The sequence below is a fragment of the Homo sapiens genome, chromosome 19, assembly GCF_000001405.40.
Source record: "Homo sapiens chromosome 19, GRCh38.p14 Primary Assembly".
NCBI lineage: Eukaryota > Metazoa > Chordata > Mammalia > Primates > Hominidae > Homo > Homo sapiens.
Window position 1 is genome coordinate 13,827,305 of NC_000019.10, and position 16,518 is coordinate 13,843,822.

Consider the following 16,518-nt stretch of genomic DNA (forward strand, 5'->3'; position numbering starts at 1 on the left):
AAAGAAAAAAGAAGTTGGGGCCAGGCCCTGTGGTTCACACCTGTAATCCCAGCACTTTGGGAGGCCGATGCGGATCGCTTGAGGCCAGGAGTTCAAGACCAGCCTGGCCAACACAGCAAAAACCCGTCTCTCCCAAAAATCAGCCATGCATGGTGGTGGACGCGTGTAGTCCCAGCTGCTCGGGAGGCTGAGGCAGGAGAATCACATGAACCCAGGAGGTGTAGGTTACAGTGAGCCAAGAGACCACAACTGCACTTCAGCCCCGGCGACAGAGTGAGACCCTCAAAAAAAAAAAAAAAAAAAGAAAAGAAAAAAAAAGAAACTGGGGACCTTCCCAGCTAGAACAAACAAGGGCCAGCAGGGTGCAGAATCAGCCCTGGACAGCCTCCTGATTGGAGCCGTTGTAGTGTGGGGAGCAAGACAAGGAGCTTTCAGAGGCTACTCAAGAGGTAGGAGCTTACAGAAGGCAGGGTCTGCAGGACAGGACCTGTGGATGGGGCCTCAGGGGAGAGGCAAACACGTGAGCTGCTGATTGGTGGTGGGACCTAGTGAAGGTGGGGCTTATACAGCAGGTACTTAGAGGCAAGAGAGAGGAGCCAACAGGAAGCATGGAGGTTTCAGGAGCGAAGGGACAGGTTGGTTTGTTCCGGCATAGGATCTATGAGGTGGGATCTGGGGTAGGATCTGTGAGGACTCACTTCAGAAGAACAGCAACAACAGCAGTGATATTAAGAGCTGACATTACCTGAGAGCATTTTCAAGCAATAAGCACCTTGCAGAAAGCTTCACCTACGCAATTTTGTTTACTTCTCACAACAATCAGGCTGGGTGCAGTGGCTCACGCCTATAATCCCAGCACTTTGAGAGGCTGAGGCGGGCGGATCACTTGAGGTCAGGAGTTCGAGACCAGCCTGGCCAACATAGTGAAACCCCATCTCTACTAAAAATACAAAAATTAGCTGAGCATGGTGGCGGGCACCTGTAATCCCAGCTACTTGGGAGCCTGAGGCAGGAGAATGCTTGAACTCGGGAGGCGGAGGTTGTAGTGAGCCAAGATCGCACCACTGCATGCCATTCTGGGTGACAGAGCAAGATTCCATCTCAAAAAAAAACAAAACAAAACAACAACAAAAAAGAAAAAACAACAATCCTATGAGACAGATACTATTTTATCTCCATTTTCTAGGTAATTGAGGCCCAGAAAGTTGAGATCACTTACCCGGGTTCATTGGATCAGCTTTAACCTCCAAGTGTTTCTGGGGTCCTCCATCTCCCAACGCCCCTCCATAGGCCAGCCCAAGACTCAGGCTAACCCCCTTCTCCCCACCCCTACCTTGCAGGTGATGCGGATGACTCTGAACGTAATGACCTGGCGGCGGAGGGAGATGGTGCGCTGGCTGGTCAGCTGTGCCACAGAGATTGGTGAGAGCCCCTAAGGGGACCTGCCACCCACTTCGCTGTTCTGGTTCTGCAGAGCGCACTGAGAGAACCAGGCAGACAAGAAAGAGAGAAGTGGCGGGGTGCGGTGGCTCACACCTGTAATCCCAGCACTTTGGGAGGCCAAAGCGGGAGGATCACTTGAGCCCAGGAGTTCAAGAGCAGCCTGGGTAACATAGTGAGACCCCATCTCTACAAAAAATTAAAAATTAGCTGGGCGTGGTGGCAAGTGCCTGTAGTTCCAGCTGCTTGGGAGGCTGAAGCAGGAGGATAGATTGCTTGAGCCCAGGAGGTCAACGCTACAGTTAGCCATGATCATACCACTGCACTCCAGCCTGGGCAACAGAGGAAAACCTCCTCTGGGAAAAAAAAAAGAGAGAGAGAGAGAGAGAAGCAAGCCAGGCATGGTGGCACACACCTGTAGTCCTATCCGGAGGGCTGAGGTGGGAAAATCACTTGAGCCCAGGAGATTGAGGTTGCAGTGAGCTGTGATTGTGCCACTGCACTCCAGCCTGAGTGGCAGGGTGAGACCCTGTCTCTAAAAAATTGTTTAACAAAAAGAAAGAGGGCCAGGCGCAGTGGCTCACACCTGTAATCCTAGCACTTTGGGAGGCCAAGGCATGTGGATCACTTGAGGTCAGGAGTTCGAGACCAGCCTGGCCAACATGGCAAAACCCCATCTCTACTAAAAATACAAAAATTAGCCAGATGTGGTGGCAGGTGCCTGTAATTCCAGCTACTCGGGAGGCTGAGGCAGGAGAATTGCTGGAACCTGGGAGACAGAGGTTGCAGTGAGCCGAGAACTCACTACCGCACTCCAGCCTGGGTGACAGAGCAAGACTCCATCTCAAAATGGGCAGATCACAAGGTCAGGAGATTGAGACCATCCTGGCTAATACGGTGAAACCCCGTCTCTACTAAAAATACAAAAAAACTAGCTGGGCGTGGTGGTGGGCCCCTGTAGTCCCAGCTACTCAGGAGGCTGAGGCAGGAGAATGGCGTGAACCCAGGAGGCGGAGCTTGCAGTGAGCCGAGATGGTGCCACTGCCCTCCAGCCTGGGCAACAGAGCGAGACTCCATCTCAAAAAAAAAAAAGGAAAGAGAAGTAGAGACTCTTCAGAGACTCTTCTCCGATTCCAGCCTGTGCTCAGGGCTTGGCCGGGAGGGAATGGCTGGCCAGCATGGAGCTGGACAAAGGCCTAGAGGCTGGCCAGGCTAATGTGGCTGCAGGGGGTTGAGGGGGTTGCAGAAAGAGGCTCCAAAGCTTAGCCTTCTACACACGTGATTCCCACCTAGTCCAGGTGCGCCCTGATGATTTGGAAAGGAAGTTTCTGTTCAGCATGGTGTGGAGGTGGAAGTGGAGGTGGCAGTGTCATGGTTAACCCACGCATACATGTACGTGTGTCTGCCCCCGCTCCTGACGGATTTCCCTCCCTCACCTCCCACCAGGCCCGCAAGCCCTGATGAATATCATGCAGAACTGGTATTCCTTATTCACACCAGTGGAGGCGGCTACCATCGTGGCAGTGACGGGCACCACACACGCCACTCTGCTGCGACTGCAGCTGGACACATCGCGGAGGGAGGAGCTCTGGGCCTGCGCCCGCACCCTGGCCTTGCAGTGCGCGATGAAGGACCCTCAGAACTGCGCCTTGCCTGCCCTGACCCTGTGCGAGAAGAACCACTCGGCCTTCGAGGCGGCCTACCAGATCGTGCTGGACGCGGCGGCCGGCGGCCTGGGCCACGCCCACCTCTTCACTGTGGCCCGCTATATGGAGCACCGCGGGCTGCCGCTCCGGGCCTACAAGCTGGCGACGCTGGCCCTGGCGCAGCTCAGCATCGCCTTCAACCAGGACAGCCACCCTGCCGTCAACGACGTGCTTTGGGCCTGCTCTCTCAGCCACTCCCTGGGCCGGCACGAGCTCTCTGCCATCGTCCCCCTCATCATTCGCAGCATCCACTGTGCCCCAATGCTGTCCGATATTCTGCGCCGCTGGACTCTCTCGGCGCCCGGTCTGGGCCCCTTAGGGGCACGCCGGGCCGCCAAGCCACTGGGTGCCGACCGGGCGCCGCTCTGCCAGCTCCTGGACGCGGCAGTCACCGCCTACATCACCACCAGCCACTCGCGCCTCACGCACATCAGCCCGCGGCACTATGGGGATTTCATCGAATTCCTGGGCAAGGCCCGGGAGACCTTCCTGCTGGCGCCCGACGGGCACCTCCAGTTCTCACAGTTCTTGGAGAACCTCAAACAGACCTACAAGGGCAAGAAGAAACTCATGCTTTTGGTGCGGGAGCGTTTTGGTTGAGGGACAGTGGGGTGCGTGGGAGTGGGGATCCCCCTCGCCCCTGCGTCCCCCACCCTTGCTCTCCAATTAGGCCCACGTGGCATTTCAGTATTATTAAGTCAGGGAAGGAGCCCGGCTGGAGATGGGGGCAGGGGGAGCAGCATCCTGCCACGTGTGTGCCTGGGAGTCTGTGAGCAAGTGTGCAAGACTCCAGAAGCAGAAGCCATACTGCCACCCAGAAGCCTGGAAGGGGTGTGTGCTTGGGCTGCTGGTATGACCCCACTTTGGGCACCCCAAAAGCAATAGGCAAACTCCCCTTACCCAGACTGGCTTGGGCTCCAGGAGGGAGGCTGGGAGGCAGGACTTTCCAGAAATCGACCCTCTAAGTCAATGTAGCACATTTTCCCCCAACCCCACCCTGGGTGGCCAAGGGTCCTCCCCCACCCCCTACTGCTCAGGGCCCCCCATTATGCCACCTCCAAAGTGGCTGCCCAGCCAGGACCATTGGCTCACCCCCACTGAAGGAATTGAAGAGGCCTCAGGCCTCAGCCTCATACCTCACCCCCTTATCCTATCCGGCCAGGACCCCCATTTCCTTGGGCACTAGGGTCCCAGGGTGGGCTCAGGGTTGGGGAAGTCCTCGCTGCCCTCTCTTCTCACCTGCTAGTCACTGGACGTACAACTCAGGAACTGAGCGAGGCTCACACTGCCCCTTCCAACCTGGGGTTGGGGGACACAGACGCGAGAGAGCCGGAGACCCCCACCCCCGATCTGGAAAGGAAAGAGACCTGTATCTTGGTGTTTTTCTGGCTTTTTCACCCTTTCGCCTCCTGTCTTTCTGCTTCGCCCCTTCATCTTACTCTGTTTCCATTTTTCCCGGCACTTACCTGCCTTTCTCTCTGCACCTAAGTCCCTGCCGCCCTCTCTCTTTGGCCATCCTTCCTTTCCCCCACCTTGACCCAGGGAGGAGAAGGGAGAACATCACCCCCCCAAGTCACCCCCACATCTTTTCCCTTCTTGTATATTAAGGACAAAATACCACATCATTTTGTAACTTTTTTTCTATTTATTGAACGGTGTATTACATGTCCTTTTCCTTTTTTTTTTTCAAAGATTGAACAGAAATTTTTCTTTTTAATTTTATTTTGAGACTGGGGTGCATCTCCAGAGCCACTCACACCCTCAACCTCGTTTCCTCCGCAAAAAAAAAAAAAAAAAAAAAAAATGTCTGGCCTTATTTCTGGGTGCAGCGCCAAGCGAGGGGTGGGATGGGAGCGACTGCTGGCTTCATTCCATGGTAATTATGTAAATATTTCCCTTTTTTTTTTTTTGGTCTTTCTCTGTTGCCCAGGCTGGAGTGCAGTAGCGCGATCTGGGCTCACTCCAACCTCCACCTCCCGGGTTCAAGCGATTCTCCTGGCTCAGCCTCCCAAGTAGCTGGGATTACAGGCATGCGCCACCACACCGGGCTAATTTTTGTATTTTTTAGTAGAGACGGGGTTTCACCATGTTGGCCAGGCTGGTCTCGAACACCTGACCTCAGGTGGTCTGCCCGCCTCAGCCTCCCAAAGTGCTGGGATTACAGGCGTGAGCCACCGCACCCGGCCTTATGTAAATATTTCAAAACAGAGATGGACAGCTCACCATGAGGGAACACAGGGCTGAATGCGTTACCGCTGTCATTTAATCGTCACCACAGCCCTATGAGTTGGTAGGATTATCTTTTCCATTTTACAGATGAGAAAACTGAGGTTGCAAAGTGGAAAGAAAGGGCACCCAGCGGCCGGGCGCGGTGGCTCACGTCTGTAATCCCAGCACTTTGGGAGGCCGAGGCGGGCGGATCACGAGGTCAGGAGATTGAGACCATCCTGACTAACACGGTAAAACCCCGTCTCTACTAAAGATATAACAAAAAATTAGCCAGGCGTGGTGACGGGCGCCTGTAGTCCCAGCTACTAGGGAGGCTGAGGCAGGAGAATGGCGTGAACCCTGGAGGTGGAGCTTGCAGTGAGCCGAGATCGCCCCACTGCACTCCAGCCTGGGCGACAGAGCGAGACTCCGTGGGTGGGGGGCAGGGGGGAAGGGCACCTAGCTAGGACGTTTGATTTAGGACCTGGTTGGGGCCACTGACCCCTGCCCACCCCTGACTGCAGGGTCCTTGAGCCCCTAGGAAGGGCCAAGATGGGGGTGGGGGGCGCCCTGGCTCCAGACACCAATGTTGGGGGTCCTTGTCTCCAAATTGCTGAGCATGGGAGGCTGTGGCAGGTGTTGGTGCAGCTGGATGGGGAAGACACCCCGATCAAAAGCGGGAACCCCGGGTTTAGACTCGACCTCGGTGGGCGGGGCTCTGGCCAAGAGAAGAAAAACGGAGTGGGGGTGGTCTGTGCGTGGACACTCGCCAGGGGACGTGGCCAGGGCGTGTCTGGGATCTTGCGCCACTGAAGAGGCTCCCAGTCGTCAAATAGAGTGAGGGATGGGATCCAAAGGACGGCGAGAAAGCCCGTGGTTGTCTAAACGTCCCTGGCTCCCCGAGAAGCAGTTTCCTCGGGGCCTTCCTGCCTTTTGGATGAATGGAGATGCTGTGTCTGGGTCACTGCCAGAGCCGGGGCAGGAGAGGACAGAGGCTTCCCGGAGCGGCAGGGCCCGTCGCTAGAGGGCGGGGCCCGCAGTCGGGGGCGGGACTTTGGCGGCGCTGTGCATGGGGATTGGCTTTTCGCACCGCCCCTCCGCTCGAGTGGGCCAATCGGAGACGGCCCCACCTCCTGCCCCGCCGCGCGTATTCCAGCAGGTATGTGCGGGCGGACCCGGGACTGCCCCGCGCGCTCCGTGGCGCCGCCTCGAGGTCTGGGACGGTGGAGGTGGGTGGAGAGCCCGGAGTGCACCCCTTGTGGTCCCTGCCGCCTTCGGACCTGGGGGACCCTTTACTGTGCCCCTCAGGTGTCACCCACGAATGTTCCCATGTTCCTGGGGCGTCACGCAGGTCCCAGCCACATCCAAATGTCCCCCCTTAAGAACTGGGGTTTCCTTCATGTCACATCCCTCAAACCCAAGTTCCCCTCCAGCATTCTCAGATACCAGGCACCCCAAATCTTCCCCTGAGGCCTGAGTAATCCCGTAGGTCCAAGTTGCCCCCAAATGTCACTAGCTCAAGACCCTCAGATCCTGGTTATCGCCACATGTCACCCCTCAGGCTCAGCGTTTCCCTCAGGGTCACCCCACCACCACCACTTCAGATCAGCTTCCATCCTCCCTTGATCAGCGATGTGAAAATCTTTCCACTCTAGGGTTTCCCTCATGGTCACCCCACGATCCAGGACACCCCCAAGGTCACCTTTCCAAGCACAGGATACCCTGCTGCACAGAGCAGGTGGGGCAGGGATGGGCAGGCAGGAGCCCGGAGTGCCAGGATGGTAAATTCAGGCCAATCAAAAGCTGAAACTCCAGCGATGGGAGGCAGGAGTGAATCACAGACCAGACCTTCAGGAATGAAGTCAGGGCAACTTTTATTTACTTGAACAACAGACATGACACACAGCACGATCTCTCCTCTCCATCCCATCCCAAGCTTCTGTCCACGACTACCCAGGGTGGGGAAAAAGGCAATGGCCCAGCCCCGATGACCTGGGGGACTTCAGTGTGCCTCCTCAGTCCCACCCAGAAAAAAGCCTCCTCCCATCTGATTTCAAGATAGTGGAGAAAAGCCAGGCACGGTGGCTCACACCTGAGCCACCTGTAATTCCGGCGCATTGGGAGACTAAGGTGGGAGGATGGCTTGTGGCCAGGAGTTCGAGAACAGCCTGGGCAACATAGTGAGACCTGCCCCCCCATCTCTACAAAAATTAAAATTAAAAAAATTAGCCAGGTGTGGTGGCGCATACCTGTAGTCCCAGCTCTACTGGGGAGGCTAAGGCAGGAGGATCACTTGTGCCCAGGAATTCAAGGTTGCAATGAGCCATGATCACACCAGCCTGGCCAAGATGGTGAAACCCCGTCTCTACTAAAAATACAAAGATTAGCCGGGCATGGTGGTGGGTGCCTGTAAGCCCAGCTACTCAGGAGGCTGAGGCAGGAGAATCGCTTGAACCCAGGAGGCAGAGGTTGCAGTGAGCCAAGATCACACCACTGCACTTCAGCCTGGGCAACAGAGTGAGACTCCGTCTCAAAAACAAACAATAAAAGGCCAGGCACGGTGGCTCACAGCTGTAATCCCAGCACTTTGGGAGGCTAAGACGAGCAGATTGCTTGAGGTCAGGAGTTCAAGACCAGTCTGGGTAACATGGCGAAACCCCGTCTCTACAAAACATAAAAAAAAATTGGCCGGGCGCAGTGGCTCATGCCTGTAATCCCAACACTTTGGGTGGCTGAGGCGGGCAGATCACCTGAGGTCAAGAGTTCGAGACCAGCCTGGCCAACATGGCGAAACTCGGTCTCTACTAAAAATACAAAAATTAGCCAGGTGCGGTGGTGTGCACCTGTAATCCCAGCTACTTGGGAGGCTGAGGCAGGAGAATCGTGTGAACTGGGGAGGTGGAGGTTGCAGTGAGCCGAGATCGAGCCATTGCACTCCAGCCCGGGTGACAGTGCGAGACTCCATCTCAAAAAAAAAAAAACAAAAAAAAAAAAACAGAGTCCTAACTCTTCCCTGCCCTGAGAACCCCCTCAAGGCAGGGAGGATCAGCTATTCCCAGCGCCTCAGGACTAAGCACACCTGCTTGTGTCCCTTCTGGGTCCACAAGGAACTTGTTCCATGCCCCACATGTGGGGCGGGTGTCACTGCTCCTCCCGGCAAGTTAGAAAGCTGCAGGGCCCAGCAAGAAGGGGCCAGGTCAGGTCAACCCAGCCTGATACCGGAAGCCAGGAGTTGGCATTTAACGGTCTGGAGGCCCAAGGCAGCTTCCTCTTGGGTAACTGGCTGCTAGGAAGGTGCGGGCCGGGCCAGTGCCCCTGCCAGGCTTGGGAGAGGAGGGGCCAAGCCTCCAGGCCCGGAAAGGACACAGCTGGCTTCCCTTTTAATGGAAGGGCCACCCACTCACCCACCTATCTATGCTGGCACCACAGCCCAGCCTGAGCTGTGGCCATGCAGGGGTCCCCAGTTGCAGAGTTGGGGATCAGGGCCTGCAGCACACATTTGGGCCCAGCCAACCCCACCCACCACATCCCTCCTCCAGACACAGGTCTGATTCTGAGTCCTCATCTCTGCTCCAAGCATCAGCCCACCCAGGGAAGGCAGGGGCTGCAGGCTCCAAGGGGGCTTGACCCCTGTTCCTGCTGAACTGAGCCAGTGTACACAAACCAACTGTGTTTCAGCTCAGTAGGCACGGGAGGCAGAGCCCAGGGAGGCCAGGCAGCAGGATGGCAGGCAGACAGGCGGCAGCAGGGGACAGGCGGCAAGGCCAGAGGAGGTGAGGGCCTGGGGGGCGGAACTTAGCCACTGTGAACACGACTTGGTGTGGACCCTGCTCACAAGCAGCTAAGCCCTGCTCCTCAGGCCAGGCACAGGCTTCGGGGCCTCTCTGCCACCCCGTCCCCGGGCAGCATCCTCGGTGGCAGAGCTCAGGGTCGGTTGGAAATCCCTGGCAATGTGATTTGTGACAGGAAGCAAATCCCATCCCCAGGAACCCCAGCCGGCCGTGGCACAGGGGTGAGGGGGGCACCGGGCGGGGCCAGAGGCTGGCACCTGGAGGGGAGAAAGAGAGAGAGAGCAAAGGAGGTAATGAGATTTGGGGACACCTCCCCTCCAGGTCCCCAGATGCTTCCTTTGATCACAGGGAAGCTCTTTTCTCATATGCAGGAGCCACCACACGGGGAGCTGGAGCCTAGCTGTGCCCTCCGTTCCAGCCCCAGGACTGGAGAGGCAGAGATACCTAGAGGGCCCATGCGGGACAAGGAGGCTACAGCAACTTGCATGGCCAAGCTCCCCCCTCATTGAGCCCTGGGCAGGCCAAATGGGGCCATGGGGAGAGGAAGCCAAGGGGGGCCAGGCAGGCGGGTGAGGAAGTGATCTCACCCCAGCTGGCGCCACTTCCTAGAAGCCTGGAGGGCAGGAGGAAACCACCAGGGCCTCCCCCCCCGTGGCCCGGTCTCCTCAGTGGCCAGGGCTTAGCCCACACCCACCAGGGCGGATGCCGGCAGCAAGGCACCCCCCTCTCTTTCTAGACACGCACCCCCCGCCCCCCAGAGCACAGGATCCAAGCTCCAAGATACAGGCCTCTCCACCCAAACAGCCCAAGGTTCAAATCCTTGCTCCACAGTTTCCCAAAGACTCTCCAAAGCTTCAGTTTCCCCATCTGTAAAATGGAGCCAAGAGCCTCTTTTGCATAGCCCAGTGAGATGTCACCGAGTATGTATGTCACTCAGTAAGTGCCCAGCACCAGGGCAAGATACAGGATTTTCAGGACCCGGTGCAAAATGAACACGTGGTCCTCTAGTTCGAAAACTAAGAATTTCAGGCCAAGCATGGCGGCTCACGCCTGTAATCCCAGCACTTTGGGAGGCCGAGGCAGGAGAGTCACCTGAGGCCAGGAGTTCAAGACCAGCCTGCGCAATACGACAATACCCCATCTCTACAAAAAAAAAAAATATTTTTTCTTTTTTGAGACAGGGTCTCACTCTGTCGCCACGGCTAGAGTGCAGGGGTGCAATCACAGCTCACTGCAGCCTCAGCCTCCCAGGTTCAAGTGATCCTCCCACCTTAGCCTCCGGGGTAGCTGGGACTACAGCTATGCACCACCATGCCCGGCTAATTTTTTCTTTTTCTTTTCTTTTTTTTTTTTTTTGAGACAGAGTCTCGCCCTGTCGCCCAGGCTGGAGTGCAATGGCGTGATCTCGGTTCACTGCAACCTCCACCTCCAGAGTTCAAGCAATTCTCCTGCTTCAGCCTCCCGAGTAGCTGGGATTACAGGTGCCCGCCACCACGCCCAGTTAAGTTTTGTATTTTTAGTAGAGACGGGGTTTCACCATGTTGGCCAGGCTGGTCTCGACCTCCTGACCTCAGGTGATCCGCCCACCTCGGCTTTCCAAAGTGCTGGGATTACAGGCGTGAGCCACCACACCTGGCCCTAATTTTTGTAGAGATGGGGTTTTGCCATGTTGCCCAGACTGGTCTCCAACTCCTGGGCTCAAGCAATCCGCCTGCCTCAGCCTCCCAAAGTGCTGGGCTTACAGGCCTGAGCCACAGTGTCTGGCCCACAAAAAATTCACTAAAAAATCAGCCAGGAGTGGTGGTACACATCTGTAGCCCCAGCTACTCAGGCGGCTGAGGTGGGAGGACTGCTTGAGCCCAGGAGTTTGAGGCTGCCGTGATCTATGACCATGCCACTGAACTCCAGCCTAAGTGACAGAGCAAGACCCTATCTCTAAAATAAACAAAAACAAGTTTAAAAAAAGAAAATAATTTCAGGCTGAGCGCGGTGGCTCATCCCTATAATCCCGGCACTTCGGGAGGCCAAGACAGGAAGATCGCTTGGGGCCAGGAGTTCGAGACCAGCCTGGGCAATACAAGACAAAAAAATTAATAATAATAAAAAAAAATTCATGACCCCAGCAGTGCAACATTAAACTAACCTCCAGGTCCCTCCAAGCAGGGCTGCCGTGAGACTGCCCGTTTCACAAATGCATGAAGCCAGCCCTAAGTCTTTAGTGAGTGGAGCTTCTTTTGATAAGAGCCCAACACCTGGCTAGCAGACTCCAGTTTTGGAGCCCAAGTCTGCCCAGATTTGAAAGCCCCAGCTCTGCAGCTTCTGAGCTGGGTGACTCTGGGCAAGTCACTCAACCTCTCTGGGCCTCAGCTTCCCCATCTGCAAAACAGGGATAATAAGTATGGACTTCATAAGTCATGGTGAGGACCCCATGAGTGATAAACATGATCACGACAGAGCTGCTGCTGTCTTTGCCAAGGCAAAGGATAACGGAAACGTGGGTGTCTCACACCAGGACCCCAGTGTCCGCCCGATGTGGTGGCGCTCACCACTTCGAGACAGGCGGCGAGTGATGTCCTGTTTTGTCCCCTCCCTATACACACATACACACATACCAGCCACTCTTTCCCATCAGGCCCCAGCCCAGCCCTGTCCCCTTAGGGTCTGGAGGCGCCAACTGGGAGCAGGCGAGGCCCCGCAGGGCGGCCAGCCTCCCTGGGCCGCCTCCGGAAGTGAGACAGCACATTCGTGTCCCAGGGACGAGAACGGGAAGGGCGGCCATTTGGCCAGGCTCGTTTCCTGTGGGGTTTCCCCTGCACAGAGCCCAGGGCCGGGGCCAAGGCCACTCCCCATCCCCGCAGGCACAAAAGGTCTGGGTCTTGAGTGGAAGGGGTGCTGCCATGCAGGTGCCCAGGAGACAGGGTCCCCTTTACCAATCATGGTGCACTTCTCAGGCTCTTGGGAGATGGTGTCCAGGGGGAAACCAAGCTCCTAGCAGCTGGAGGCATGAGGGAGAGGGCGGGCCCCTGGGCTGGGGAGCAAAGCAGGCCCCAGGCTGCATCAGGACACCCCGGCCAGCCAATGCATGTGGGTATGCCTGAATACCCCCTCCAGACAGCGTGTGCGTGGACCAGACACACAAGGGTATGTATGTGTACCGCTACCCCCCCAACCCCATGCTCCAAGAATGAATCAGGGGCAGCTTCCGCCGGGGGCGCCACCACCACCTCCGCCCCCAAGCCTGGTCCCCAAATACTTTCCACCCTCACAGAGCAGCTGGGATCGGAAAATACCAAGGGCTGCAGGCCCCGCCCTGCCCGCCGCGCCACCCGCCCTCCCAGCCTGTCACTAACGCTTTGCCTAATGGGCCCAGACTCTCAGCAGAAGCTCCGTGGGCTGGGCCTCGAGCCAGCCGCCAACCTGGGCTGCCCGGCCAAGCGCCGCCTGACCAGGAGCCCCCCGCCCCTCTGCCCCAATCCCAGTGCAGCGACAATAACAACCGCCCCGATGGGCAGCCCTCAGAGGGTGGCACTGGGTAGGGAAAGTCAGGGCACTGACAAGTGGGTGGGCCCCGCTGCCCACCCAGGGCTGGGGTGGGGGGAGGCTCAGGAAGGGGTGAGTAAGTGAGGGCTGAATCACTTGTTATAAATAGGGGAACCATGAAAGTGACATCCCAGCCCCCATTGCGTCCCGCCAGTCCACACTCTAACCCCCACTTAGACTTTAATCTTTCCCAGACCAATCACAGAATTCCCAGGGGCCCCCTCACCTTCATGTTGGGAACCCTTAGTAGAGTGGTACACCCCGTCATCAGGTCCACCCCTGCCTTCTCCCCACATAGGTACATTTTGCAGTGAGGGCCTGGCTGTGGGGGTCCCCTGGCCTTGAATGCAGTCACTGGTGTCTGCGCCCTATCCACCTCCCTCAACGCACCGATTCCCAGGCCCAAGGCTCAGGGCCTCTAGGCTCTCCAAGGCATTCTCAGGGTGTGGGCCACCACAGTCCTGGAGGGTGACCCCAGAACCTAGGCCAGGCGGGAGGCCAGGGGGCTTGGCATCTTCGAAGTCAGTTCCCCAGGCACCGAGGCCCCACATCCTAGACCACCCAGCCCTGCTCTGCCCAGGGCCACAGCTCAGTGACCACACCCAGGGTGGCGCCAGCTCCAGCACCCTGGGGCAAGGCGTCGCTGGAGCGTGACTCAGCCGTGCCCAGCATGGCGGCGCCCTTCTCTGCCCAGGGATTCTCACCCACACCCACTGCCCTCCGCTCAACATCCTTCCCAGGCGACCGGCCCTAAAGGACACACCTTCCCCAGACACACCTCCGTGTCCACCCAGGACACCAGGAGGGAAGAAGGCGGCCAGGGGCAAAGTGTACACTTCTCTCCGTCCCATTTCCAAATGCTTCCCATTTATAGATAGAATAATTAAGGCTCAGAGATTCAGACTGGGGCTTAAGGTCATGGAATAAGTCTTAAAAAAAAAAAAAAAAAAAAGCCAGGCCTGACTGTGGCCTAAAACACATCCAACGTGGAAAACAGAGGTTACAGGAAGGAGTTTTCTCAAGATCGCCCAAGGTTCCTGGCGCCGTTATTCATGGAGGACAGAATCCCCCACCCAGCTTTCCAAGGTGAAGGGCAAACTCCAAAAAATGCTTTAAGAGGTATCAAAGCACCACCTAGATCGGGCGAGCGGGTCACCCCAGTGTACCCACCGGGCTAATTACCCTGGGATTGCAGATAGATGGGGGCCTGCCCCGCAGCTGCGGTCTGCATGGAACATCTGGCGTCCACTTGCATTGTTAGAGGGTGGGCACGACACGGGGGTCCCTCCTAAAGCATCCGCCTCTGCTGTCTTTCTCCAGCGAGCAAGGGTCGGCGGAGGCTCAGTGGCCAGGCCAGCACAGACAGGCCCGACCCTCTGGACACGCCCTGTCACGCATGTGCTCCGCGTGCCAGCCCCAGGCCAGGCCGGCACCTATTTTAGGGCCCCCTCTAGATCCACAGGCAAGGCCTGCCTGTTGGGGTCTTGAAGGAGCTCCCAGAGGACGTGCTGCAAGGGCAGAGGGCCATGGGTGCCTCACGGGATCAGAGAACAAAGCTAGCACCAGCCCCAGGGCCTGTGCCTTCCCAGGACATCGGCATGTGAACACATGTACCCAGGCTGGCCCGGGCAGGGCATGTGGGCGAGCGGACAGGGTGTGTCCAACATCACCTCGCCTCTAAGCCTGGGCACCTGTTGGGTACAGCCCTCCAGCTGGGGCAGGACTGCCAGAGGACACCCCTTATGCCAGGGGTCCCCCAGCCCCCAGCCTCACCCTCATAGACCAGGAGTCAGAGGCTGCCAGCTGGGGAAGGTTGGGAAGGGGGCAGGTGACAAGGAGCCAGCTGCACAGCCAAAACATTCAAGAAGCCACTGGGTCTGGGGCCTGGCTGGGCTGGGCTGGGCTGGGCTGGGCAGGAAGGTCAGTTAGGGCTAAGGGCTTTAGGGGCAGCCAAATCTAGTGCTAAAATCAGAAAACAGTCTGGGGCTAAGACAGAGGGGTCGGGGTTCAGTCTGGGCCCTTTTAACCTCCTCCTTCAGCCAAAAGGCACGGGGACCCCAAGCTGCACAGGGCTGGTCCCCAACCTGGCTTTCCTTCCTATGCAACCTTGAATGAGCGCTTTTCTCCGAAGGGAAAGGAGACATCCCCCCAGCTCCCACCAGCCCCTGCCCAACAAGAGACCTTCCCCCTACCCAGCGGGCGACACGTCAAGAACTTGGACCGGTATCCACCCCCGCCCCCACCCAAAGAACTCTGAGAGACCCCCCCAACCCATTCCTCCCGTCCAAAGGCCAGGTCGGGGGGCTAGGAGTGGGGTAGGCATATGCATATCCAAGCCCCTCAACCCAAGCCCCATGTCCGAGCCGGACACAAGCCCTCCCACCCTGACAACTCTCTGCCCACCTTGACCTGCCCAAGTCGCGCGGGGACCCGCCCTCCCCACCGCATTCCCATGCGTCCCCTGGGGGGTCGGGGTGGAGGGGCCACTGGGAAGGGAACAGAGGCCGGGCCGCCCTTCCCCCGCTCCGTAGGGGGCGCCCCGGGACTCCGCGGCCGCCGTCGCCACCGTCAGACGCACTGTCCCCGATCCCCGACCCACCCCGGGCGGCGGGGCGCTCAAGGCGCGCGGGGCGGCGCCCTCGCCTTCTCGCAACGCTCTTGGGGACCCGCCGGGCGCAGCCCCACTCCGCCCACGAGCCAGGCGCGGAAAAGTTGCCGGCGCCGCTGCCGCCGAGGCGCCGATCGCTCCCGGCCTCCCTCCTGGGTCCCTCCTGACTTCCACTTACCCGCGGGGGGAGGGGAGCCGGGCGCGCACTCCGGGCTCCGGCCGCCGCCCCGGGCCGGGCCGGCCGAGGCTCAGGCGGGCGGGCTGCGGGCCCGAGACCGGCCGGGGGCGGCCGCCGGCCGCGCTCCACCCCACTCACTGGCCGGCCAGCCGCGGGGCCGAATCGCTTTTAAAACCTTCCCGTCTCCTCCCCCCCTCCCCGGGCCGGGCAGGGGGCGGGCGCGGGGCGGGGCAGGCGTCGCCGTCATGTGCCCCCGAGCCGGCCCGCCCCCAGTTTCTCTGTCCTGTCCCCCAACTCTGTCCCGTCCCCCAACTCAAGGCCAACTTTCTCCCTCCTTGTCCCGAAATCAGCCTGGGCCCCATACCCAGCCCAACTTCCCCCTCTGGACCCTGAACTTGAGTCCCAGTCCCGAGTTTTAAGCCCAAGGCTCTGTCTGCGGGGGTAGGGTGGGAGCAAAGGGTCTAACCCCCTATCCCACCTCTGGAACCCCTGTTGGTCTAAGGCCTGCGCCTGCCCAGGGAGAGGCAACCCAGGAGGCCGTGAGCCCCTGGGAATAGAGATTGGTGAGGGGCGGTTTGGCGGGTGGGCTCGGTCCCAGACCCAGGGCACACTGGGCACTGCAGACCCCTCCCGGGGAGGGGGGCCTGGGTCTGGGTATTGCCCTGGGATGCCACCAAACAGGAACCCCCACTTGCTCCAGTTCCACAGCGCCTTCTCCAGCCTTAGGAAGTTCCTCCTCTTATCCTACCTAACCCTCTCCTGCTGCCATAGAAAAGACTTTCTGGTCCCAGGCCATGCAGCCCCTGGGTCTGGGTCCCCTCCCCCTAGGCTTCCCGGCACCCTCCCCCACCCGCTGGGACCTCTGGGAAACTCCCCGGGCTCCCGGAGTAGCTCTGGGAGCAAGGCCCTCCCTGGATCCCTCCCTCTTTCCCGGTGTGCCTGTCTTTCCCGCTCCATCCTCCAGCCTCCACCGGGAGGAACGCGGCTGCATTGTTCCTCAGGAGGAGGCCCTGCCTCGGGGCCTGGCCCAGTGCCCAGGTGGGTGGC

The 16,518-nt window shown here is 58.6% G+C and overlaps 1 protein-coding gene, 1 long non-coding RNA gene and 3 other non-coding genes across 14 annotated transcripts in view, besides 10 other annotated features; 1 reads left to right on the plus strand and 4 right to left on the minus strand.

Moving 5' to 3' along the window:
* ZSWIM4 (zinc finger SWIM-type containing 4) overlaps positions 1-4,950 on the plus strand; it is a 36,812-nt gene extending 31,862 nt beyond the window's left edge. For 9 of the 10 annotated variants that reach the window (XM_017027153.2, XM_047439236.1, NM_001367834.3 and 6 more), the window contains 2 exons: positions 1,341-1,422; positions 2,887-4,950. In XM_017027153.2, coding sequence (XP_016882642.1) covers positions 1,341-1,422; positions 2,887-3,746 — 942 coding nt within the window. In that variant the 3' untranslated portion in view covers positions 3,747-4,950. The remainder of the gene's footprint in view (positions 1-1,340; positions 1,423-2,886) is intronic. The other variant, NM_023072.3, reaches the window with a different exon arrangement.
* Positions 6,120-6,169: an enhancer, noted in NCBI's record as "active region_14139". NCBI's record gives its function as "activates an Ori minimal core promoter by ATAC-STARR-seq in GM12878 lymphoblastoid cells {active_cell/tissue: GM12878}" and the evidence as "EXISTENCE:reporter gene assay evidence [ECO:0000049][PMID:35858748]".
* Positions 6,220-6,269: an enhancer, noted in NCBI's record as "active region_14140". NCBI's record gives its function as "activates an Ori minimal core promoter by ATAC-STARR-seq in GM12878 lymphoblastoid cells {active_cell/tissue: GM12878}" and the evidence as "EXISTENCE:reporter gene assay evidence [ECO:0000049][PMID:35858748]".
* Positions 6,380-6,569: a silencer, noted in NCBI's record as "silent region_10211". NCBI's record gives its function as "represses an Ori minimal core promoter by ATAC-STARR-seq in GM12878 lymphoblastoid cells {active_cell/tissue: GM12878}" and the evidence as "EXISTENCE:reporter gene assay evidence [ECO:0000049][PMID:35858748]".
* Positions 7,212-15,614, minus strand: MIR23AHG (miR-23a/27a/24-2 cluster host gene). The gene has a single exon (NR_036515.2). It is a non-coding gene; the product is annotated as a miR-23a/27a/24-2 cluster host gene (long non-coding RNA).
* MIR24-2 (microRNA 24-2) lies at positions 8,983-9,055 on the minus strand. Its single transcript, NR_029497.1, has one exon. It is a non-coding gene; the product is annotated as a microRNA 24-2 (primary transcript).
* On the minus strand, positions 9,136-9,213 carry MIR27A (microRNA 27a). Its single transcript, NR_029501.1, has one exon. It is a non-coding gene; the product is annotated as a microRNA 27a (primary transcript).
* MIR23A (microRNA 23a) lies at positions 9,283-9,355 on the minus strand. The gene has a single exon (NR_029495.1). It is a non-coding gene; the product is annotated as a microRNA 23a (primary transcript).
* Positions 11,288-11,397: an enhancer, noted in NCBI's record as "active region_14141". NCBI's record gives its function as "activates an Ori minimal core promoter by ATAC-STARR-seq in GM12878 lymphoblastoid cells {active_cell/tissue: GM12878}" and the evidence as "EXISTENCE:reporter gene assay evidence [ECO:0000049][PMID:35858748]".
* Positions 11,428-11,647: an enhancer, noted in NCBI's record as "active region_14142". NCBI's record gives its function as "activates an Ori minimal core promoter by ATAC-STARR-seq in GM12878 lymphoblastoid cells {active_cell/tissue: GM12878}" and the evidence as "EXISTENCE:reporter gene assay evidence [ECO:0000049][PMID:35858748]".
* Positions 11,868-11,967: an enhancer, noted in NCBI's record as "active region_14143". NCBI's record gives its function as "activates an Ori minimal core promoter by ATAC-STARR-seq in GM12878 lymphoblastoid cells {active_cell/tissue: GM12878}" and the evidence as "EXISTENCE:reporter gene assay evidence [ECO:0000049][PMID:35858748]".
* Positions 12,388-12,617: a silencer, noted in NCBI's record as "silent region_10212". NCBI's record gives its function as "represses an Ori minimal core promoter by ATAC-STARR-seq in GM12878 lymphoblastoid cells {active_cell/tissue: GM12878}" and the evidence as "EXISTENCE:reporter gene assay evidence [ECO:0000049][PMID:35858748]".
* Positions 14,512-16,020: a transcriptional cis regulatory region, noted in NCBI's record as "candidate enhancer chr19.2258 targeted for multiplex CRISPR interference". NCBI's record gives its function as "positively regulates TRMT1 gene expression in K562 cells {active_cell/tissue: K562}" and the evidence as "EXISTENCE:mutant phenotype evidence [ECO:0000015][PMID:30612741]".
* Positions 14,526-14,585: a silencer, noted in NCBI's record as "silent region_10213". NCBI's record gives its function as "represses an Ori minimal core promoter by ATAC-STARR-seq in GM12878 lymphoblastoid cells {active_cell/tissue: GM12878}" and the evidence as "EXISTENCE:reporter gene assay evidence [ECO:0000049][PMID:35858748]".
* Positions 15,046-15,775: a silencer, noted in NCBI's record as "silent region_10214". NCBI's record gives its function as "represses an Ori minimal core promoter by ATAC-STARR-seq in GM12878 lymphoblastoid cells {active_cell/tissue: GM12878}" and the evidence as "EXISTENCE:reporter gene assay evidence [ECO:0000049][PMID:35858748]".